The 25,024-nt window shown below is 45.0% G+C and overlaps 2 protein-coding genes across 38 annotated transcripts in view, besides 2 other annotated features; one reads left to right on the forward strand and one right to left on the reverse strand.

The window, feature by feature from the left end:
• Positions 1-25,024, forward strand: part of ARSG (arylsulfatase G) — a 192,850-nt gene that overhangs the window by 7,788 nt on the left and 160,038 nt on the right. For 19 of the 32 annotated variants that reach the window (XR_007065287.1, NM_001352910.2, XM_047435643.1 and 16 more), the window contains exon 1: positions 24,538-24,611. The exons of 11 other annotated variants lie outside the window; for them this stretch is intronic. The gene's annotated coding sequence lies outside the window, so the exon portion shown is untranslated. Of the gene's footprint in view, positions 1-24,537; positions 24,696-25,024 lie in introns of those variants that run through there. 2 more of the 32 variants (XM_011524537.2, NM_001352900.2) reach the window with 1 other exon arrangement.
• SLC16A6 (solute carrier family 16 member 6) lies at positions 69-24,522 on the reverse strand. 6 transcript variants are annotated; one of them, NM_001174166.2, is made up of 7 exons: positions 24,129-24,170; positions 16,040-16,166; positions 11,132-11,370; positions 6,970-7,113; positions 5,682-5,810; positions 3,882-4,697; positions 69-2,389 (listed from the first exon to the last, which is right to left on the reverse strand). In NM_001174166.2, exons 3-7 carry the CDS (start codon positions 11,361-11,363, stop codon positions 2,139-2,141), a joined length of 1,572 nt encoding a protein of 523 aa, NP_001167637.1. In that variant the 5' UTR covers positions 11,364-11,370; positions 16,040-16,166; positions 24,129-24,170; the 3' UTR covers positions 69-2,138. The 6 variants fall into 6 exon arrangements, with proteins under 6 accessions (NP_001167637.1, XP_024306789.2, NP_004685.2 ...); XM_024451021.2 differs by lacking the exons at positions 16,040-16,166; positions 24,129-24,170 and adding an exon at positions 24,436-24,522; NM_004694.5 differs by lacking the exon at positions 16,040-16,166.
• Positions 24,306-24,995: a silencer, noted in NCBI's record as "silent region_8899". NCBI's record gives its function as "represses an Ori minimal core promoter by ATAC-STARR-seq in GM12878 lymphoblastoid cells {active_cell/tissue: GM12878}" and the evidence as "EXISTENCE:reporter gene assay evidence [ECO:0000049][PMID:35858748]".
• Positions 24,362-24,536: a silencer, noted in NCBI's record as "fragment chr17:66287460-66287634 (GRCh37/hg19 assembly coordinates)". NCBI's record gives its function as "represses an EF-1alpha promoter that drives an FKBP-Casp9 reporter gene in an ReSE screen in K562 erythroleukemia cells {active_cell/tissue: K562}" and the evidence as "EXISTENCE:reporter gene assay evidence [ECO:0000049][PMID:32094911]".

A 25,024-nucleotide genomic window follows, 5' to 3' on the forward strand; every position in this document is an offset into this window, starting at 1 on the left:
TTATAACTTTAATTGCCTCAAACACTGAATGCTGTGAGAGTCAATAAAAAATCTTAGAAGAGAATCGGTCTCTTTAAATAAAAAATCCATAAATTTATTGCAAATCTAGAAGTACCAGAATGTCACTAATACAGAACAGATCAGCAATCTTGTTTGTATTTTCTTCCAAACATTTAAAACCTTGATTATTGACATACTGAAATTGGCATACATTTTGTTTTCATGCAGATAACAGAATAGACATGGAGCAGATCCCTCAGAAATCAGTTATAAATATTAAATTGTATTGAACATTCATAGTAAAAAATATGTCGTAAAGTGCTGAAGTCATGTAAGTCTGCAAAACTGCCACAAGCTCAAAGTTCTCAAGCAGTGACAGAGATTTGCTACATCCACCTTGTTTTAGATTATGCCTGTTTTTGACAGACACTTTGTCATTTCCTCCCCCACCCTCCCCAAAGTTTTATAGATTGTCCTATTTCTATGGCTGATAAGATGCTCTACAAAATGTAGCAGGTGGTGATGAACTATGCCACTTTCATTTCAGTGCAGAGAAATATTCAAGCTTGTGTGTACCTGTAACCAAACTAGGCTTGTTATGTTTTTCCCCCTGAGTTGTCATAAATTAACATTAACGATGAATAAAGATGGAGCAGCAAGCATTGACCATCACCTGCAGGGTGAGATTGTGGTAAAATAGGTGAGTAAAAAGTCCACCTATTATCCTGACACTTGCCCTCCTTACAGAAAACTGCTAACGTGAGCAATACTATACATGTAGTGTGACTCCAAAAAAAAAGGAAGAATAAAACAAACAAAACAAAACAATGACCAGTTACCCGATACCTCTGGCAACTTAGACCAATCAAGTCATGTGTTATAGAAGATGTAAATTGCAACTTGTAACTCGCTATAACATAATTGTCTCTGTTACCCCCATGTGAAATACAGAAATGCTTCAATAATTAGATGGTTTTTTCTTTAAATCAGAAATGCTTTAACAATTCTCTGAAATATAATTCTGATCAAAGAAGTTCCTCAAGTATTCTTAAATGATAAAACAAATTAGTTTTGAAAGCTAAGGCGATTTGCAATCCATTATTTTTTCCCCTTTAATAGCACACGTTGCCCCTAATCAAATGGAAGAATCATGACAACTTGGCCTTTTATGAAAGTATTTTTACAAGATAAGACGTATTCTGTGAGGCATTTAAAGGATTGCAGAAAGGAGGTAAAAATGCTGCTTATGTCTCAGATTTTATTTCTTTTGATTACTTTAATCATCCTAGAATAACTTAATAATAAATAGCGGTTTAAATTAAAGACACTACAGTCACATATTTCTGTATAACTAAAAGCAACAGGAAACACATTTTTAAATGCCATTTTGTATATTCTGTACTGAAACACTTCTGATAAGGACTGGCCATAAAAAGAAGTGGTAATCTTCACATTTATGAAGTTCAAGTTATATATATATATATATACTTAAAATTTGTTTATTAGTAAAATGTTTGGTCTTAAACTATATTTCATTTCCAGCAAGCAGAGGCCGTAATTTGTTAACGGGAACCTTGGTATTTTACAAAGGGTTTAACAAAAACTATTTATTCATATTTCTGAAAATTAGGAATTTTAAAAATGATTGAAGTCTTTTTTTTTTTGACTGGCCAATTTCATTTCAATGACCTGGGTTGGATGTTGTTTTATTCAGGAGAGTAGTTTATTCAGACAAGACCATAGGAAGAAAGAAAAGAAAAAAAGAAAATCATTTATCCCACGTGAAAGCTTTTAAAACCACTTTGCCAGTTCATGTCACTATTTTAATATCGGAATGTGAACCAAAGAGTCTTTCTACATATCTCTTGTATTGCTACTGAATACAGCCAGATTTATATATGGAAGAGTGCTTGGTTGTTTTTTGTTTTGGCTTTAAAAACAAGCAAAAAAAAAAAGCTTAAAACAAAACAAAACAAAACAAAAGCGATGTTGGTAGTGCTCTTCACATACACATTCCCTTTAAAATGTAGTTTTGAAAGTGGAGTAGAGGGGTTAGCTCCTCTGCCTCCTTGTGTCCCCGTTGGGCCCACCCCATCCCTCTCCAGCCAACACAGTGGCTGTTGTTGTAAGAAAGTGTGTCATACCGGCTCCATTTGCACGTGAACTCTGTGCTCATTTTTTGCAAGATCCATTTCCAGAAAGTCTTCAGGTATGTCCTGTAAAGTCTTCCCACGATGGCTCACTACCTTTGTTTCACCTGAGTGATGATGCTGGCACAGTCCCATCTTACACGGTCTCACCAGGGCGAGGCACACAGCAGCCAGGGCCATGCCAGCTGCGCAGGAGTAGAAGGCCCTGCTGTAGATCTTACTTTGGTCCACCAACAAACCTGGAAGAGAGCATGGCGTCCGTTAACAGCATCCTTCCTAGACATAAGCCCCTCACCCAGGCGACCATCCCATTCAGAAGCCTCTCAGTTTCACTGCCTTCCTTGTTTTCTTTTGTGTTTCTAAAGAAAAATGGGTGTTAAGGGCAGAAATCTTTACTAGACTGGAGAGGAGAAAGAGACAAACACCCAATATACTTGTTCTTCTTGGGCTAAGCCTGTCCTAGCAGAGGACCTAAAACCTGGGACATTTCGATGCATACTTCTTTGAAAAGGTAATATTCTTCGGTAGGAAGGAACTGTATTATTTTCACTTGAGTTCACTTTAGGTTTTTTTTTTTTTTTTTTAGACAGAGTTTTATTCTTGTTGCCCCAGGTGGAGTGCGATGGTGCAATCTCAGGTCACTGCAACCTCTGCCTCCCAGGTTCAAGCGATTCTCCTGCCTCAGCCTCCCGAATAGCTGGGATTAGAGGTGTCTGCCACCATGCCCAGCTACTTTTGTATTTTTAGTAGAGATGGGGTTTTGCCATGTTGGCCAGGCTGGTCTGGAACTCCTGACCTCAAATGATCCGCCCGCCTCATCCTCCCAAAGTGTTGGGATTAGAGGCATGAGCCACTGCGCCCGGCCCGTTTTAGGTATCTTTTGACAGGGGGTACGATTTCTAATCACAAACACTTTAAAGACCCATTTGGGATCTAAGATATGAAACATACCTATGTCCCTCCTACAAGGAAATATTCTGTACAAATCAGTTAGGTATTTACAGAGTGCTGCTATCCATTCCCAAATACCTTTCCTAAGAAAGGAAGATGACTTACAGAAGTCCATTAGTTCTATCATTCCAAAAGTCAGGTGGGCTCTGAAGGTGATAAATCCATGAGTTCTTGCCTAGCATGAGAGAAGGCAAGGTGACAGAAAAAGCCTGGGTTGGCGGGTGCGGTGGCTCACACCTGTAATCCTAGTACTTTGGGAGGCCAAGGCAGGCGGATCACGAGGTCAAGAGATTGAGACCATCCTGGCCAACATGGTGAAACCCCATCTCTACTAAAAATACAAAAATTAGCCAGGCGTGGTGGTGGGTGCCTGTAGTCCCAGCTACTCAGGAGGCTGAGGCAGGAGAATCACTTGAATCTGGGAGGTGGAGGTTGCAGTGAGCTGAGACTGCGCCACTGCACTCCAGCCTGGGTGATAGAGCGAGACTCCATCTCAAAAAAAAAAAAAAAAGGCCAGGGTCAATCTGGACTACAGACACAGCTTCCAGTCCTGAATCGACCACTAATTTACCATCTGACCTTTAGCTTCAATTCTTTGGCCTTCAGTTTCCTCATATTTAAATCAAGAGGGCTGGCTCAGGTAATCTCTAATCCCTGGCAGCTCTAAAATTCAATGGAAATATAAAACGGCAGTAAGTTTTTTTTATGGCTTGAACAGGAAGCTAGCACAATTCACAAGGGAAAGTAGACAAGTGTTTGTATTTTGTGTATTTAAATTACCTGCAAGGGGCGGTCCAGCCAGTCCTGCTATGCTCTGAATGAAGATGTAGACCCCAGCTGCAGAAGACATCTTCTCAATGCCCACGACATCATCCTCAGCAAGCAGTGGAATGTGAGTCCCTCCTATTGTTCCAACCATAAACCCAAAAAATATGCTGCATGACATTAGACCCCAGAATTCAGTAGCAAAAGTAAAGGCAAACAGAGACACAGTCAATAAGATGACGCAGATGAGCTCAATGTAAATCTTACGAATGGGCTCCCTGTTGAGGACAAAACCAGCTCCGATCCTTCCGAAAACTTCTGCAATGGCCATCGTAGATAATAAAAAAGCAGCGCGGTCCTGGTCAATGCCCAGACTAATGCCCAGAGGAATGATGTACAAGGAAGGTGCAAAGAATCCCAGTGTTGCAAAGAGACCAAATAATGCATAACAAATAAAACTTTTCTCTTTCAAAATGGAGAAGTCTAATAGCGGGGCTTTCTTTTCGCTTGGCCTGGGGCTGGTCTTCACCAGGACCTGCTGCATGTCGGCCTTCGGCTCCAGTTCCAGGTTAGTGTGAGTAGGCACATTTTTAGGTGAGGTAGTTAGTTCTACTCCTGAGTCAATGGAGTCTATTGAGGTTCGTGTTTTCTCATTTTCAAGCATATACTGCGCTTCTTTCCGATTTTCCTGGATGACTATTTTCGGTGACGCTGGTCCTCTGATAAAGATGGGTCTGAGCAGTGCTCCGAAGATGACAATGTTTAACTGTAGTAGGCCCACGAAGAGGAGGCTGTATCTCCAGCCAATGCGCTCCTTCAGAGCCATGATTGCTTGAATAGGCAGGAGTGAAGAAGAAATAATATAAGGTCAATAATGGACTCAAGACCCAGGAGAAGCCATCAAGAAGAAATATGGATCCAGATTTTGTTATAAGTTCTGTGGAAATTTATTATACTCAGCAGTATGAATGTACTCAATCTTTATTTATTTACTTTTTGAGACAGAGTCTCACTCTGTCACCAGGCTGGAGTGCAGTGGCCTGATCTCAGCTCACCGCAACCTCCACCTCCCGGGTTCAAGCGATTCTCCTGCCTCAGCCTCCTGAGTAGCTGGGACTATAGGCGTGCGCCACCACGACCAGCCAATTTTTGTATTTTTAGTAGAGACAGGGTTTCACTGTGTTGGCCAGGATGGTCTCGATCTCCTGACCTCCTGATCTGCCTGCCTCGGCCTCTCAAAGTACTGGGATTACAGGCATGAGCCACTGCACCTGGCCTTTTTTTGTGTGTTTTAAGTAGAGACAGGTTTTTGCCATGTTGGCCAGGCTGGTCTCGATCACCTGACCTCAGGTGATCCGCCCACCTCAGCCTCCCAAAGTGCTGGGATTACAGGTGTAAGCCACCGTGCTCAGTTACAGATTTTGTTTTGAGATGATCTACACACAGATAAGAATGCTGTGTTTATTAGCATAATCTAAATCCACATTGAATGTAGCTCTTTTGAAAAACGAGAGGACATAACAGGTGAATAATTGCAAATTACTAGATTATTCTGGAATGCATGTGTCAAGAAAGCCCTACCACTGCATATGTGCCCAGTTAGGAATTGAAACCTATTATTAAGGTGGTCTGAATACCTAAAGTGGGGGTTAGGGAGGACAGATCCTAAAAATGAGCTGGAGAAGAGACGTAAATAACGTCTCATTACACATACACTGAAAGTCATCCATACTGTTGGCAAAAGTTAGCGTAGCAAGAATACCTGAGTGACGTCTCTCATCCACATTCATACTTAGGCTGTTGTAGTCCACCTACCTGGTGCGAAAGCAAACACAGCGAAACATTCTCCTGTGGAAGCAACTGCAGTGACTATGGAACGTCTTTTGCCAAAATATTGTGATAGGATGGTTACAGTTGGGAGAAAACTAAAGCAGTATCCCAGACCTGTGAAAGAAAAGTCAAAAAAGCCAATGAGACCCACATACTGCTTGAGACTGGAAGGATGCATTAAAAGATCTGGGATTTTTGGTTTTGCTTTTTGAATCTTAAGTTCTAGGAGCCAAGTAATTCATTCTGGACAAAGGTGATGTTGCAAAGAAAAATGGGTTTCATTAACGGTCTGGATAAACTTCAGTGGTTGTTTGGGATACTAAAAATATAACTTTTTTTTTTTTTATCTTTGCAACACTTTTTTTCAAATTTATATAATTCACAATGGATGAAACTATTATTGCATGAAATTTTATATAAGATTTGTATCTAGAAAGAAATAAGTCATTTCATATGTGCAGAAATACAGGAAAAATTTAAAGTCTGCAAATCTTAACAACTGTGTGTGTATCTATCATCTATGAGGAATATATGGCCTCCTTTTATTGTTCATTTCATTTTTTTTTTTTTAAACAGACAGGGTCTCACTCTGTTGCCCAGGCTGGAGTGCAGTGGTGTGATCACAGCTCACTGGAGCCTTGACCTCCCAGGCTCAAGTGATCCTCCCACCTCAGCCTCCAAAGTGATAGGATGGTTACAGCTGGGACCACAGGCACGCACCACCACGCTTGGCTAGTTTTTATTTTTTGTAGAGATGGAGTCTCCCTATGTTGCCCCAGTTGGTCTCAAACTGCTGGGCTCACGTGATCCTCCTGTCTCAGCCTCCCGAAGTGCTGGGATTACAGGCATGAGCCACCATGCTGGCTACTCCTTTTGAATGGAAAAAGGTTTTCTTAGGCCCCCAAGAATAAGTCTGGCATGTTGCACTTCCCCTACAGCCCTGGATCCTCAGACACTGATGTGAGAAATACTGGCTACAGAAATTCGTCTTACTTTGTAAAAATGCTATCTTTTGGCTGCAAATACAGCAAAAGAGAAATTATCATCATCTTTGGTGAAGATCAAACAAAAACCCTTGGGCACTTGAGAACAGATTCCCAGGTCCCCTGAAGTCCATATAGCTCAGTTCAAAACTACTGATCTGAGACACTGTTAATGTTAAAGAAAAAAAGAAAGAGAAAGAAATATAGTTTGGCTTTAATTTCCTCCTTCCCCTTCCTTGTTCTTCAAACTAAGTGTCTAGACAACTTCTGAGCCAAAGAGGAACACTTACCAGAGATGATGCCGATGGCGACGTACATATGAGAAACCTCTTGTGAGAAGGAGGCGGCCACCATCCCGGTGCTGACAAGTAGCCCCCCCAACATCACTACCAGACGGTGTCCGAAACGATTGCTCAGGACTGTGGCGAGGGGAGCTGCCGGGAAAGAACAAAACGATATTTTAACTCACAGAGGCTTCAGGGTTAGCTGCCATAAGACTCCTTCCTCCACGTCTTGCACATGGAGAGATGATGTCGAATATAAATATGGCCGAGCGCAGTGGCTCATGCCTGTAATCCCAGCACTTTGGGAGGTTGAGGACGGAGGATCGCTTGAGCCCAGGAGTTCAAGACTAGCCCGGGCAACATGGTGAAACCCCGTCTCTACAAAAAATACAAAAATTAGCCAGGCATGGTGGTGTGCACCTGTAGTCCCAGCTACTTGGCAGGCAGAGATGGGAGGATTGTTTGAGCCTGGGAGGCAGACGATGCAGTGAGCCAAGATTGCACCACTGCACTCCATACTGGGTGACAGAGTGAGACCCTGTCTCAAGAAAAAACAAAACCAAACCATAACACATTTCATGCAAAGTCAGTGCAGGAATTATTTTACTATTTGTTCAAATTCAACACGATTTGTCAGACTCCTGAAAGAGAAAGCCAGAATAACAGTATAAAACTTTTATCTATATTTTTAGATGACTCTGACTCACCATGAGCACCTATAAAATTAGATATGTATTGAATTTATGTTATTCTATAATAAAAATTGGTTTTCCTATGATTGCTTGAATTATTTTTTCTCTACTCACTACTTTGGATTCTTTTTAAAAAGCTCCATTTGGGGTCAGATTCTAGTTAGTTTCTTTCTTTTTTTTTTTTTGAGATGGAGTTTTGCTCTTGTTTTCTAGGCTGGAGTGCAGTGGTGTGATCTCGGCTCACTGCAACCTCCACCTCCTGGGTTCAACTGATTCTCCTGCCTCAGCCTCCCAAGTAGCTGGGATTACAGGCATGTGCCACCATGCCCGGCTGATTGTGTATTTTTAGTAGAGATGGGGTTTCTCCATGTTGGTCAGGCTGGTCTCGAACTACTGACCTCAGGTGATCCGCCCACCTCGGCCTCCCAAAGTGTTGGGATTACAGGCGTGAGCCACCGCGCCCAGCCTAGTTAGTTTCTTGACAGGATGAAAGAATGTGAATTCTAAGTTATGCACTCCTGAAGGAGAGTTGCTATGGGATAGATAATTGAAAGTGAATCATCATTTGCTTAGCTTCTATAAGCTGTATCCCCTAGGACATTTAAATCTGGCAAATTAGTTTCCTAGTTATAGGTTACTTAATATTAACTTGACAACAGTGACGTAAGTGAGCCATTGAGAGTTGGGTCAAGGAACAACAACATGCTAGAAAAGGAAGTGGGAAAAAAAGGATTCCATTTTTTTGGGTTAGTCTATATGTATCTACTATGTTAACTATTAGAATACAAAGTAATCTTGGATGTAGCTCATAATAAAACCACTCTCATCATTTTGAGCCAGGATGTTGGCTCAAAGCATTAACAACTAGAATAATAGCATTTGGAAGAATTATCTTCTGGTATAATAGTATTAAGTGGAAATTTCTTGTTGACTACATTTTTATTTTTAGTTATAAAAGACCTAAAACTTAAGCTTTGGGATTTTCTTTTTATTTAGATTACCAAATGTAACATTTTAGTCCTAATTCATTTGTTATCTTTCTAAGAAGGTAATTAAGCATTCCACAATTTAAAAATGAAGTTATCTTGGCTGGGTGCGGTGGCTTACACCTGTAAATCCAGCACTTTGGGAGGCCGAAGCAGGTGGATCACGAGTTCAGGAGTTAGAGACTAGCCTGGCCAACATAGCAAAACCCCGTCTCTACTATAAAAATACAAAAAATTAGCCAGGCGTGGTGGCAGGTGCCTGTAATCCCAGCTACTCGGGAGGCTAAGGCAGGAGAATCACTTGAACCTGGGAGGCGGAGGTTGCAGTGAGCTGAGACCGCACCACTGCACTCCAGCCTAGGCAACAAAGCGAGACTCCGTCTCAAAAAAAAAAAAAATTAAGTTATCTTGATACTCACTTAAAATAGAACCAGGAATGACTTCATGAAACTTGTAAGGGATAGTATGAGAACTAACAAGATAAATTTCTCTCTCTCTCTTTTTTTATTTTTTGAGACAGAGTCTTGCTCTGTCTCCCAGGCTGGAGTGCAGTGGCACAATCTCAGCTCACTGCAACCTCTGCCTCCCAGGATCAAGTGATTCTCCTGCCTCAGCCTTCCGAGTAGCTGGGATTACAGGTGCCCACCACCACACCCGGCTAACGAGAAATTTCTACCTTACCCAAAGGGTAAAAACATGTAGAACTGCCTTGTAAAGACATTCTATGGCTAAAAATGGACTACATTTAAAGAAGGGCTTTAATTTCAGCAATAACTTCAGAGATAACAGTTCCATGACAGTGTGTAAGTGTAAACTTAGGGAAGTTTAAGGTCAGCCTGGTTAACTTTCTTTATTTTTTTTATTTTTTGAGATGGGGTCTTGCTCTGTTGCCCAGGCTGGAATGCAATGGCATGATCATGGCTCACTGCAGCCTTGACCTCCCAGGCTCAAGCAATTCTCGCTCTGCAGCCTCCTGAGTAGCTGGGATCACAGGTGTGTACCACCATGCCCGGCCAATTTTTTATTTTAATTTTTTGTAGAGATGGAGTCTTGCTATGTTGCCCAGGCTAGTCTCAAACTCTAGGGCTCAAGCAATCCTTTCATCTTGGCCTCCCAGAGTGCTGGGATTACAGGCGTGAGCCACCATGCCCAGCTTGGTTAACTTTCTGAGGTGAGTTCAACAGCCCTTTTCTCTTAGAAAACCCTTGGCAATTATTTCTGACAGACCAATGAACTCATGAGACCTGGCATGTATATTCAATAGCCCTTTATAGGACCAAGTGAAGATTAGTATGTTAAAAATGATACTGAAGCCCCATTTTATTTTATGCGATTGGGTCTGGGAGTATATTATGTAATGATGAATCAGTGAAGTCCTTTAGGGAAACAGGTGCTTGGAATTCAGAAGGTCTCCTCAGAACAATATTTGTAATTTCACCTTATCTCCTTGTACACATCTCATTTTGCTTCATGCATCCACATTTACATGTTTCCACTTGGAATTATGAGATTGGGGCCTGGTATGTCAGCAATTATTATTATTATTATTTTGAGATGGAGTCTCACACTGTCGCCCAGGCTGGAGTGCAATGGCATGATCTGGGCTTACTGCAACCTCCACCTCCCAGGTTCACACGATTCTCCTACCTCAGCCTCCTGAGTGCTGGGATTACAGGCACATACCACCATGCCCAGTTAATTTTTTGTATTTTTAGTAGAGAGGGGGTTTCACTATGTTGGTCAGGCTGGTCTCGAATTCCTGACCTCGTGATCCACCTGCCTCGGCTTTCCAAAGTGCTGGGATTACAGGCGTGAGCCACCGCGCCCGGCCGCAACTTTTTTCTTTTTTGAGATGGTGTCTCGCTCTGTTGCCCAGGCTGGAGTGCAGTGGTGTGATCTCAGCTCACTGCAACCTCCGCCTCCTGGGTTCAAGCAATTCTCGTGCCTCAGCCTCCCAAGTACTGAGGATTACAAGTGCAAAACACTGTGCCTGGCTAATTTTTCTATTTTCAGTAGAGATGGGGTTTCGCCATGTTGGCCAGCCTGGTCTTGAACTCCTGACCTCAACTGATCCACCCACCTTGACCTCTCAAAGTGCTTACAGGTGTGAGCCACTGTGCCCGGCCATCAGCAACTTTTTGATGTTGCTTCTTAGACAGTGACTATATCCTCACATCCTCACAAAAGGAGGTTGACTGCACTCCTTAAGGGAATCTACAGAATCCTAAGAGTGTGCAGACAGCAGATGTTTAATACATGTGTGTTAAACTGAAGGCTGTCATGGCTGGCAAATAAGGCTTTTTTTCTTCAGTGCCTTTTGTTTCTTGCCAATCCTCAATGCTCTGAAAACCCTGTTAGTCAGGGCTAGGAAGGACCAACAGGCGTATAAGGGAATGAAAGCATCACAAACACATCGACTACCATTACCAAGGTAGCCAAATTAAAAGGGCCCTATACTTACGTCATGGTTAGGCCGAAAGATGTACTAACCTGAAAATGTTAAGACAAACACACAGATTGAGATTATCCATGAGATCCTGCTATTGGATTCATTAAAACTGTCCATTAAGTCATTAAAGAAGACACCAAATGTCTTGATGATGCCGTAGGTGAAGACTTCAACGAAGAAAAATGAAACAGCTACCGCCCAGCCCCATCCTCCATCAGGCACTTCAGTATACACATTGGCTTTGGAACAAAGCTTTAATTTATTTTGGGTCATTCTTAATCTGAAAGAAAAAGTTAAAAGCAATTCAGATCAGCAATAGCATGAGGATCGATGATTCTCATACTCTTAAGCAAACAACAGATAAGAACTACTTACCCCATTTCTTAAGTTGTTGAATATTTATTTATTTATTTATTTATTGAGATGGAGTCTTGCTCTGTCATCCAGGCTAGAGTGCAGTGGCATGATCTCAGCTCACTGCAACCTCTGCAATTCTCCTACGTCAGCCTCCCAAGTAGCTGGGACTACAGGCATGTGCCACCACAGCCAGCTAATGTTTTTTCTTTTTCCTTTTTTTTTTTTTTTTTTTTGAGACAGAGTCTCACTCTGTTGCCCAGGCTGCAGTGTAGTTGTGTGATCTTGGCTCACTGAAATCTCGGCCTCCCGGGTTCAAGTGATTCTCCTGCCTCAGCCTCCCGAGTAGCTGGGATTACAGATGCCCACCATCACACCCGGCTAATTTTTGTATTTTTAGTAGAGATGGGGTTTTGCCATGTTGGCCAGGCTGGGCTCAAACTCCTGACCTCAAGGGATCCACCCGCCTTGACCTCCCAAAATGCTGGGATTATAGGCATGAGCCACCACACCCAGCTGATTGTTGAATATTTAAATCATGTACAAGCAGTATAAAGTATTTGGATACTTTTATGCATATATATGTATATACAAATCTTGGTATTGTACATGGGGCCTCCCAAAAAGAAAGTTAAATGGGAAAAACAGACATGAAGAACCAGAGCAGAATATTTAGAAGCATATTGAAGGACACCAAATGGCCACCAGACCAAGTATTAATGCTGACCTTGAAGGACTCAACTTAGGCAAAAAAAGACTGAATTGACCATAAGGAATGTTGATCAGAAATGAAGCCTAGAAAACGGAGGCTGAAAAGCAAACATTGGCGGTGCATCCAGCACCTTCCACCGAGTAAGTGTTTGAGATACCATAAGCGTCTCTGCTTGATGTCCCTGGCCACCGCGATCACCTAGTCAACTCTTCTTCCCCGCCATTTTCTACTCAGTAAGCAATATTCTGATTATGATTTGGTGTTCCATGTGGATGTACCTACACAGACACAATGTCACTATAAATCAAAATGAGGGCATTCTGTCTTCTGGGAGTTTGTTAAGCAGGAGTAATTTCCTCAAAGTTGACCACCACTTAGTATATTAGCAATTGAATTTCCAAGTACATGATGATACTCTAGAATATGGTGTCTAAATAAGGTACTATTATACAAGCCTGTAGGGCCCCATCTGGACACCAGTTAACTGAGTTACCCCTAACCTCACTGTGCCTCTCCATTCAAACTGCAATAAACATCAGAACAAGCCAACCTGTCTTAACACTTCTAAGGAGACATTGACATTGACATTGGTTTAACTTAAGTCTTCTGGATTGGGCTCTAGCACATGAATACTGTCTTTTTCAAAGCCTCTGTAATTACATATACTTTGAAACAGTCATGTGTATTTTTAGCCTAACTAAAAATTAATGATATCTATAATAATCAATGAGTCCATGGTCTTCAAGCTCTTAATGGCAACCAACTTCAAGTTTAAGAATTCTTTATGGCTGGGCGCGGTGGCTCACACCTGTAATCCCAGCACTTTGGGAGGCCAAAGCGGGTGGATCACCTGAGGTCAGGAGTTCGAGACCAGCCTGGCCAACATGGCAAAACCCCGTCTCTACTAAAACTACAAAAATTAGCTGGGCATGGTGGCAGGCACCTGTAATCCCAGCTACTCAGGAAGCTGAGGCAGGAGAATTGCTTGAACCTGGGAGGAGGAGGTTGCAGTGAGCTGAGACTGCACCACTGCACTCCAGCCTGGGCAATAGAGCAACTCTGTCTCAAAAAAAAAAAAAAAAAAAAAGAATTATTTATATATGACCCAAAGCAATCTACAGAGTGGATTCCTATCAAAATACCAATGACATTCTTCACAGAAATAGAAGAAAAAAATCCTAAAATTTGTATGGAACCACAAAAGATCATGAATAGCCAAAGCCATCCTGAAAAAAAGAACAAAGCTGGAGGCATCACACTAACAGACCTCAAAATATATGACAACACAACAGTAATCAAAACAGCATGGTACTGGCATAAAAACAGACACACTGACCAATGGAACAGAAGAGAGAACCCTGAAATTAATCCACATGTCTACACCCAACTGATTTTTGGCAAAGGTGCCAAAGACATTCATTGGAGAAAGTTCAGTCTCTTCAATAAATGGCACTTTGAAAACTGGATATCAATACAAACAATGAAACTAAATCCCCACCTTTCACCCTATACAACAATCAACTAAAAATGGATCAAAGACTTAAATGTAAGACCTAAAACTATAAAACTACTAGAAGAAAACATAGGGGAAACACTTTAGGACATTTGTCTGAGGAAAGATTTTTATGGATAAGACTGGAAGAGCACACACAACAAAAGCAGAAATAAACATGGGATTATATTAAGCTAAACAGATTCTGCGCAGCAAAGGAAACATATCAACAGAGTGAGGCCAGATGTAGTGTGTCACGCTATAATCCCAGCACTTCGGGATGCCAAGGTGGGTGGATTACCTGAGCTAAGGCGTTTGAGACCAGCCTGGGCAACATGGTGAGATGCCATCCTTACTGAAAATACGAAAAATTAACTGGGCCTGGTGGCACACACCTGTAGTCCCAGCTGCTTGGGAGGCTGAGGGACGAGGATTGCTTGAATCCAGGAGGTGGAGGTTGCAGTGAGCTGAGATCATGCCACTTCACTCTAGCCTGGGTGACAGAAGGAGACTCTGCCTCCAAAAAAAAAAAAAAAGAATGAAAAGACAACCCACAGAAGGGTAGACAATATTTGCAAACTATTCATCTGACAGGGGATTAATAGCCAGAATATACAAGGAACTCAAACATCTTAACAGCAAAAAAACTCCCCAACAATCTGGCTTAAAAATGGGTGAACAGGCTGGTGGCGGTGGCTCACGCCTGTAATCCCAGCACTTTGGGAGCCTGAGGCAGGTGGATCATGAGGTCAAGAGATCGAGACCATCCTGGCCAACATAGTGAAATCCCGTCTCTACTAAAAATACAAAAATTAGCTGGGCGTGGTGGCATGCACCTCTACACCTGTAGTCCCAGCTACTCGCGAGGCTGAGGCAGGAGACTCACTTGAACCTGGGAGGTGGAGGTTGCAGTGAGCCGAGATCGTGCCACTGTACTCCAGCCTGGTGACACAGCGAGACTCTGTCTCAAATAAATAAATAAATAAATAAAATGGGTGAATAATCTGAGCAGACATTTCTCAAAAGACATACATATGGCCAACAAATATATGAAAAAATGCTCAACATCACAAATCATTACGGAAATCCAAATCAAAACCACAGTGAGGTATCATCTTACCTCATTTGGGATGGCTATGATCAGAAGACAAAAAAATAACAAATGCTGGCAAGGATGCGGAGAAAAGAACTCTTATACACTGTCGGTGGGAATGTAAACTAGTACGGCCAATAAGGAGAACAGTATGGAGCTTCCTCAAAAAACTACAAATATAGGAACACTTTTACACTGCTGGTGGGACTGTAAACTAGTTCAACCATGGTGGAAGACAGTGTGGCAATTCCTCAAGGATCTAGAACTGGAAATACCATTTGACCCAGCCATCCCATTACTGGGTATATACCCAAAGGATTATAAATCATGCTGCTATAAAGACACATGCACACGTATGTTTATTGCGGCACTATTCACAACAGCAAAGACTTGGAACCAATCCAAATGTCCATCAATGATAGACTGGATTAAGAAAATGTGGCACATATATACCATGGAATACTATGCAGCCATAAAAAAGGATGAGTTCATGTCCTTGGTAGGGACATGGATGAAGCTGGAAACCATCATTCTCAGCAAACTATCGCAAGGACAAAAAAAACAAACACCACACGTTCTCACTCATAGGTGGGAATTGAACAATGAGAACACTTGGACACAGGAAGGGGAACATCACACACCGGGGCCTGTCGTGGGGTTGGGGGAAGGGGGAGGGATAGCATTAGGAGATATACCTAATGTTAAATGACGAGTTAATGGGTGCAGCACACCAACATGGCACATCTATACATATGTAACAAATCTGCACGTTGTGCACATGTACCCTAGAACTTAAAAAAAAAAAAAACTACACATAGGACCAGGCGCAGTGGCTCACGCCTGTAATCCCAGCACTTTGGGAAACTGAGGCTGGAGGATTGCTTGAGCCCTGCAGTTTGAGAACAGCCTGGGTAATATAGGGAGACGCTGTCTCTACAAAAAAGTATAAGAAGAAATTAGCAGTGCCGGGCATGGTGGCTCATGCCTGTAATCCCAGAACTTTGGGAGGCCGAGATGGGTGGATCATGAGGTCAGGAGTTTGAGAGCAGTCTGGCCAACATAGTGAAACCCCATCTCTACTAAAAAAAAAAAAAAAAAAAAAGGCCAGGTGTGCTGGTGGGTGCCTGTAACCCCAGCTACTTGGGAGGCTGAGGCAGGAGAATTGCTTGAACCCCGGAGGTGGAGGTTGCAGTGAGCTGAGATTGTGCCACTGCACTCCAGCCCGGGTGACAGTGCAAGACTCTGTCTCAAAAAAAAAAAAAAAAGAAAGAAAATTAGCGGGGTGTGGTGACACATACCTGTAGTCCCAGCCACTTGGGTGGCTGAGGTGGGAGGATTGCTTGAGTTGAGGCTGGAAGCTTGAGGCGGCAGTAAGAAGTGATCACACTACTGCACTCTTGCCTGAATGACAGAGCAAGACCCTGTCTAAAAAAAATTTTTTTTTAAGTTGGCTGGCGTGGTGGCTCACACCCATAATCCTATCACTTTAGGAGGTCGAGGTGGATGGGTCACTTGAGGTCAGGAATTCAAGACCAGACTGGGCCGGGCGCAGTGGCTCACGCCTGTAATCCTAACACTTTGGGAGGCCGAGGCAGGCGAATCACGAGGTCAGGAGATCAAGACCATTCTGGCAAACACGATGAAACCCCGTCTCTACTAAAAATACAAAAAAATTAGCCAGGCGTGGTGGCGGGCGCCTGTAGTCCCAGCTACTCCGGAGGCTGAGGCAGGAGAATGGCGTGAACCCGGGAGGCGGAGCTTGCATTGAGCCGAGATCGCGCCACTGCACTCCAGCCTGGGCGACAGAGTGAGACTCCGTATCAGAAAAAAAAAAAAAAGGCTGGGCACGGCGGCTCACGCCTGTAATCCCAGCACACTTTGGGAAGCTGAGGCGGGTGGATCACCTGAGGTTGGGAGTTTGAAACCAGCCTGACCAACATGGAGAAACGCTGTCTCTACTAACAAACTACAGAAATGATCCCTGAAAGTATAGTCTTGAAACCCTGTCTCTACTAAAAAAAAATACAAAATTAGCCGGGTGTGGTGGCGCACGCCTGTAATCCCAGCTACACGGGAGGCTGAGGCAGGAGAATCACTTGAACCTGGAAGGCAGAGGTTGTGGTGAGCCGAGATCGTGCTATTGCACTCCAGCCTGGGCAAAAAGAGCAAAACTCCGTCTCAAAAAAAAAAAAAAAAAAAGACCAGCCTGGCCAACATAGCAAAACACTGTCTCTACTAAAAATACAAAAATTAGTAGTAGCACGAGCCTGTTATCCCAGCTACCCAGGAGGCTGAGGCACGAGAATCACTTGAACCTAGGAGTCGGAGGTTGCAGTGAGCCGAGGTCACACCACTGCACTCCAGCCTAGAGTGAGCAATAGAGCAATAGAGTGAGACTCTGTCTCAAAAAAAAAAAAAAAAAAAAAAGCTGGGCGCAGTGGCTCATGCCTGTAATCCTTTGGGAGGCCAAGGTAGGTGGATCACTTGAGGTCAGGAGTTTGAGACCAGCCTAGCCAACATGGTGAAACCCGGTGTCTGCTAAAAATGCAAAAACTAGCCAGGTGTGGTGGCACGTGCCTGTAGTCCCAGCTGCTCAGGAGGCTGAGGTTCACTTGAACCCGGGAGGCAGAGGTTGCAATGAGCCAAGATCGTGCCACTGCACTCCAGTCTGGGTGACAGAGCAAGACTCTGTCTAAAATAAATAAATAAAATAATAAATAAAATGTAAAAAGAAAATTCTTTACAATTATACAATTGTATACAGGTGAATTTTCAGGGTCAGGGTGCATTATATCCTTTATATCCTTTTCCTAGCCATAAGTTGTTGGGTCAAAGTTACTAAGGCAAAGGTTTTATTGAAAGTAGAAGGCAACTGAAAAATAACAGGACACAACCTCATCTATCCAACAGACTTGCTGGTTTTCTATTTTTAAAATCTAATGTTCTGAATTTACTCTACAAATCTTAAAAAGCAGCAAATCTGATCTAACTTAGTATCATTCATCCTACTGATAGCGCCATTCCCACTGTAGCCTAGTACTTGGGAAGGACTATATATTCACTTTATACACTATTACGGCTAAATATTTGGTTGATTAAAATAAGGCATAAGATGCTGTAAGATGAGTATGCTCTTTGCAGCAAAGGCCTTTGCATTTTGATGTGTGTTGATATGTCATAAATTATATGCTCACAAAATCTGAGGTCTATTTCTCTTTGTACAACCCCATGTCCCCGGACCCTGCCTGTACCTTGTACACAGCTTGTATTTATTTTTGCAACAAAATACCTATCAGGTGCCAGGTCCTCGCTTTCACTATAGGGGCACTACAGTGAAAAGACCAAGAGATGGTCTCTGCCTCCATGGACTAAAATATTTGCTGATGATGATGCTAAGGAAAATGAATGCATCTGAAATGCATCCTATGTAAATGATTCAACCACATCTTGCCAGAGTTCAGCACATTTCTGACAAGCAGTCAGGACTCAGTAGCTACTAAGACCAAGGTCAAATTGGCACAGTTGTTCTAACCCAGAAATGTGCCCAGAAGGTCTTAAGAGTTTTAATGGAGGGCTCAGGACCACCTTGAAACAAAACATATAGTGATAAAATTTGATAAAGACCCTAGAGAGACGTGGAGTGCAGTGGCACGATCATAGCTCACTGCAGCCTCAAAACTCCTGGGCTCGTGCAGGGCACGGTGGCTCACACCTGTAATCCCAGCACTTTGGGAGGCCGAGGTGGGTGGATTGCCTTAGGTCAGGTTTCGAGATCAGCCTGGCCAACATGGTGAAACCCCGTCTCTACTAAAATTACAAAAATTAGCCTGGTGTGGTGGTGCGCACCTGTGCTTCCAGCTACTCGGGAGGCTGCGGTGGGAGAACTGCTTGAACCCAGGAGGCAGAGGTTGCAGTGAGCTGAGATTGTGCCGCTGCGCTCCAGCCTGCGTGACAAGAACGAGACTCCGTCTCAAAAAACAAAAACAAAAAAACTCCTGGGCTCAAGTGACCCTACTCAGCCTCTCAAGTGGCTAGGACTATAGGTATGTGCTACCATGCCCAGCCAATTTTTTTTTTTTTTAATTTATGTTTTGAGATGGAGTCCAGGCTGGAATGCAGTGGCATGATTTCGGCTCACTGCCACCTCCATCCCCCAGGTTCAAGCAATTCTTTGCGTCAGCCTCCCAAGTAGCTGGGATTACAGACGCCCGCCACCATGCCCAGCTAATTTGTTGTATTTTTAGTAGAGACAGGGTTTCACCATGTTGGCCAGGCCGGTCTGGAACTCCTGACCTCGTGATCCACCCACCTCGGCCTCCCAAAGTGCTGGGATTACAGATGTGAGCCACCGCGCCTGGCATAATTTTTATTTTTTGTAGAGACAGGGTCTCACCATGTGGACCGGGCTGTGGGTTGCATTTAGATGAGTGGGACCAGATTGCAGTTTTTGTATGAGCTGAGATTACCTGCCATCATGAGAAGGCTCTGTCTGGCCAGCACTGAAGTTCTGGTGCCAGCTGCCCCTTTCCTCTCTTCCCTTGCCTGTATCATCAGATGTTTACACTTGCAAAAGGGATGGGGCTAGGATGAATCTGTAACCCCTGAATAGAGTTAGAATTATTGAATGTTAAAGCTGAAGGGGAAAATTGAGGTTATCTTTTTCAATTCCTTTTTGTAAAATCTTACTCATTTTGTAAAATCGGGAAACTGATCCCCAAGAGGTGAAGGGACTTGACTGAAATAGCCCAATACTGAATCTCCTGCCTTCCAGGGCTCCTGCTGTACAAGCCTACAGGAGAGCATTTTATTGTATTTAATTTTTTTGAGATGGAGTCTTGCTATGTCACCTAGGCTGAAGTGCAGTGGCACGATCTTGGCTCACTGCAACCTTAGCCTCCCGGGTTCAAGCGATTCTTCTGCCTCAGCCTCCCGAGTAGCTGGGATTACAGGCACCCACCATCATGCCCGGTTGATTTTTGTATTTTTAGTAGAGATGAGGTTTCAGTATGTTAGCTAGGCTGGTCTCGAACTCCTGACCTCAAGTGATCTGCCCGCCTTGGCCTCCCAAAGTGTGGGATTACAGGTGTGAGAAACAGCTGATACTTTTGAATTTAGTACTGAATTCTATTAATCAACTGATGGCTTAAGCGAAGCCTGGTGGCCCAAGGAAACTGAGCTCGGAGAAAGTGTAAATGCTAGATGGTTCTTGCAAACATGGGTGTAAAGTAGCTAGCTGGTCATTGCTTAGATCTATTCTATGACAGCTGTTTAGAAGATGGTGGACTTTTTGTTTTTGTTTTTGGAGATGGAGTTTCGCTCTTGTTGCCTAGGCTGGAGTGCCATGGCACAATCTCAGCTCACTGCAACCTCCACCTCCCGGGTTCAAGTGATTCTCCTGCCTTAGCCTCCCAAGAAGCTGGGATTACAGGCATGCGCCACCATGCCCGGCTAATTTTGTTTTAGTAGAGATGGAGTTTCACCATGTTGGTCAGGCTGGTCTTGAACTCCTAACCTCAGGTGATCTGCCTGCTTTGGCCTCCCAAAGTGATAGTATTAAACGTTAGATAGTATCTAAACGATAGTGCTGGGATTACACGCGTGAGCCAGCATGCCCAGCCTTCTTCTTCTTCTTTTTTTTTTTAATAGAGACAGGGTCTCCCTATGTTGCCTAGGCTGGTCTGGAACTCCCGGACTCAAGCGATCCTCCCACCTCGGCCTCCCAAAGTGATAGTATTAAACGTGTGAGCCACCTCACCTAGCCAGATGGTGGACTATTCATTTCTATTTCCTTTCTGAGCCACTGCTGGGAAGTTAATTCCTTAGTTTTTTTAAAAAACTCTGCTTTATGTCTGAGCTATTCTACTCTAGCTAGAGCCACATATAACTTTCACCTGCATTCTTGGGTTTTTGGACAGAAGCTTTCTTTTCTTTTTATAACTGAGATCTCCATCAAGGAAAGATGACACCCTGAACCCCGTCCTACCCCCAAGGTTTATGCCTTTATCATCCTAAAGCATCCTATGTCCTATTAAATTTAGCTTTGAAGATAAGACCACAATATAAAGTAATAACAGGATAACCTGGTTTCTGAACCTTCCTGGGTGATAATGCCTGTATTTAAGTAAAGTCATGCACAGGTCTTTCCTTAAAAAACCGAGTCATAAGGGGAGAAAGTGCTTGGTTGCAGAATAAAACCCTTCCTGGACTCTTCTCCCTTTTTTCTTTTCTCTTCTCTTCTTCTCTTCTCTCTCTCTTTCTCTCTCTCTCTCTCTCCCCCTCCCTCCCTCCTTTCTTTTTTTTTTTTTTTTGGGGGTTGGGGATGGAGTCTCAGTCTGTCTCCCAGGCTGGAGCACAGTGGTGCGATCTCAGCCCACTGCAAGCTCTGCCTCCCGGGTTCAAGCGACTCTCCTGCCTCAGCCTCCTGAGTAGTTGGGATTAAAGGCGCATGCCACCACGCCCGGCTGATTTTTTTTTTGTATTTTTAGTAGAGACAGGGTTTCACCATGTTGGTCAGACTGGTCTCAAACTCCTGACCTTGTGATCCGCCCGCCTCAGCCTCCCAAAGTGCTGGGATTACAGGCGTGAGCCACTGTGCCCGGCCTTCTCCTTTTCTTTTTTTCCATTCCTTCAGCAGAAGGCCAAACCTTCTGTCTCTGCAAACAAAGCAACTGAGGCCTGAATTTTGAACTCATTTATGCAGAAGCCTCTGTAAGTTCCAGAATATAAAAGTTTATCTGTCCACTTTGGTCTGTGGCCATGTGAATTTATCTGACGGGTAGGGATATTTTTCAGCTGTGTAGGGATCTAACTGGTGAGGCGAGCTGAGTCATCCTGCCCATCAACCCCTGCTTTACGGATGATGGAATTTAGGCAAATCACTTCACTTCCCCATTTTCAATGTCAATGTAAAATCAAGGTAAATGTAAAAAAGGGAGTTGAACTAGACTCTGATGAGCTTAGATCTCTTCCTGCCCTAATAGTCTATACTTCTATGACAGCCTTTGACCGTCACTTGCTTTAATCCTTCTAAGCCCTTTGAAGGCAAGGCCGAAGAGTTGGTCTTCTTAAAGCTCTTAGGCCATATTTGTTAATTTCTGTGTACCATTAACTGGCTGCACAGTTATGGAAACCACAGAATCCTGAACTTCTAGAACTTCTATCATCTGTAAAGCATGGGTTGTCAGGGGAGTCTCTCAAGCCTTTTCCAACTTACAAAACTCGACAATTCTGAATGGGGGTTCCCGGCAGCCATCTTCCCTTCACCCTAGTGTTCTTCTGGAGGAAGTACAATGACACAATCCACGGGCAGTTTGGAGGATTTCCTAGTAGCATGTGGTTAAGTGTCCCCTTAAATAAATGAGTATTGGCCGGGTGCGGTAGCTCATGCCTATAATCCCAGCAATTAGGGAGGCCGAAGCAGGCAGATTACTTGAGCCCAGGAGTTTGAGACCAACCCGGGCAACATAGTGAGGCTGTGTCTCTACAAAAAAATTAAAAAATGAGGTGGGAGGATCGCTTGAGCCCGGGAGGTCGAGGCTGCAATGAGCAGAGATGACGCTACTGCACTCCCATGATGGGAGTGAGACCCTGCCTCTAAACAAATAAATAAGTAGGTATCTTGCCAAAGGCTTGGAAATCCGCTATCCTTGGGAGTTTCACTGTGATTTAATTTGTCGAGAGAAGATTTGGCCCGAGGGCATGAAAAAAATTGTATTATTGTAGACCATCAGAGTGTTATTCCAGGGTCAGCTAAGAGCAAGTTTCAAAACGCAGGCTCTGGATGGAAATGGGGTGGCTACTGTTGTAGGCAGACCTCGAGCAAAAGCACTGCGGATTTCTCTTCTTCTTAAAGGCGTAGCCCGGAGAACAGCTTTGACAAGTTGTTTCTGGCCCAAGTTGTCAAAACCAGTCTGTATTTGGCTAAAGTTCATCTGCATTCTCTATTTAAAAAAAATTTCCAAACCTAACCTGGATAGCTGCCTCACGATGTTGAATCACTGGCTACAACCGAGTCACCATTTTACAAGACTATGGTGTTGAAACCTGAGCCCCTAATTTAAGTGTCCTCCTCAGGAGTTCCACTGAGGAAAGTCCTTTTTCGGAAACCACAGAAGGAAAACTCAGGGTTAGTGGTACTCATTACACTGGAAGGAGCTTTTCCACTTGGCTGCATTGTTTATTTACACACTGTAAGTTCCTATTTTGGACACTCTTCCCTTAATTATGAGAAGAGGGGTTTCTATTATATCATCTGGCCGGATGTATTGTTGACCCCAAAAATGCCACATAACGGTGCTTGGGACATGGGGAGATGCATGGTTTAGAGATTTCAGCATAAGCACTTGGCATCTTTTTTACAAGCAAGACACCTATCTTACCATGATTTGCAAAAACAATCAGATCACTGAGAAATCTCATTCCCGGGGTAGAAACCATCTCCTGCGAGAAGGAGCTGGCACGGAGTGTCTAACCGTGCAAACAAAACCGGCTTCCAGGTTGACAAGTTGTAATTGCTCTTCCCCAGTTGGCTCCGGGGAGCTTTTTCTAAGACTGACGCCCCCCATGTTTGGTGACATTTTATATACGCCACCTAACAAACTTCTATGACCTGTCTTGCTAGGGTGGGGGGAATAAAAAGAAAAGACGACAACAACCTAGAAGGAAATAACCCATTTCCTCTGCAAAACCATCTTCCCTTGCTACGGAACTGCTTGGCGACACCAGCGCTTTCCTGCGGTTGGCAGCCCGGGAACCTTGAAGTTGCGCGGGACCGGCCGTCAGCCGCTGACAGTTCTGACAGTCCAGGTGGAGGACCCGCGCTCTGCCGGGAAATCCCCGGCTTCCCGCTGGGGACAAACGGTGGCCGCCGCAGGGAGTGCTGTGTTTGGGGGTCGGGGGAGGCAGGGAGCCCCACTTTCCCTCGCGCTGCCTCAGTGCCCGGCCTGCGTGCGCGCGCCAGCCTGGGGTAGGAAGGTACCTCTGACATTTCGCTCCTGCGACGCGCAGGCAACTTCATGCGGAAAATCCGCGGAGGGGCTGAGCCTGGAGCCCCCGACTCTTCCGACGTCCCGGAGCCCCCAACCCGGGGCAGGGGGCACTCAAAGGCCAGGCGTGCCTTTAGGTATCTTCCGGGACCCAACTGTACCAGGGTCACGGACATTCAACTCTCAGCTACCCACACCGGCGCGAGCGCGTCATCCCGGTGGCCCTGGGCATTCCTAACTGTCAGAGCGAATATTTTTGGGAATAACCTCTCCAAAATGTGAAGATGTTCAGTGGTCTCCTCCGCCTCCCATCACAAAAAAAGGCCCCAACACATATTTTTTAAAAAACAACCCACATCCCACAATCAAACTTTTAAACATGTAAAATAATAAACCAACTCACCAAGTTAGAAGGGAAGAGAATAAACCCCCAAAGGCTCCCAATAAGGCGGAGGCTTGGCCTCCCCCTCCTTATAAGCCGCTCGGTAACATGAGAAAAGGATTAACCCCTTAGGGGGCGGGCCCGACTCTAGCGCAAGTTGGCTCGGGCTGGTGAGGCCCGAGCGCCCGGGCCCTCCACCCACTCCCGCGACTCGGGCACCCGAGCCACACCCTCCCCCCGCCCCCCACCCCGGCCGCCTGCGACCCGGGCCGTGCGTGCTGCCGCCCGCGCCCCGGCCCCGCGTCGCTGCCTAGCTCTTATCCTATACCGGCTGCAGCCGGTCTCCGCCGGCCTCGGGGGCGCGCCGCCGCCGACCATGTGCTGCGAGCGCTGAGCGCAGCCAAGGAGGGGGCCTGCCTGGCGCGCGCGCGCCGTCCCACGTGGACCTGAGCCGCGCCGGTCGCGCGCCCGCCAGCCTGCCGCCTGGGCTGGGGGTCACGAAAGGTAACCGCGTCGCGGTCCGGGGCCGGGCCGCCCCCGCCAGCGCCGCCGGGGTCCTTGGCACAACGCCCCGATCTCCCAACCCGGGTGCGCCTCTGCGCGCGTGACCCGCCCAGACCCCGGAGCTTTGCTGCAACGCTAGTAGGAGCGCGAGCGTGCAGGGTGTTGGGGGTGCCTGCATCCTGTCTCGGAGCACCTCGGCCAGGCGCGAGCGCGCGGGTCCCCGTCCCCACCCCCGGGCGCCTTCCCGGCGCGCCCACCGCCCAGTCCCGCCCGCGCCCTGAGGATTTAGGGATTTAGCGGCGAGGGGGAACACGCGCGCGCCGGGGCTGATCCCGCGCGGCGCTCGCGGCTGCGGCGGCTTCGCGCCCGCCCCGGGCAGAACAGGTTCCTTCCAGTTTGGGTGTGAGCTGCGC

Source organism: Homo sapiens, chromosome 17 (assembly GCF_000001405.40).
Source record: "Homo sapiens chromosome 17, GRCh38.p14 Primary Assembly".
Lineage (NCBI taxonomy): Eukaryota > Metazoa > Chordata > Mammalia > Primates > Hominidae > Homo > Homo sapiens.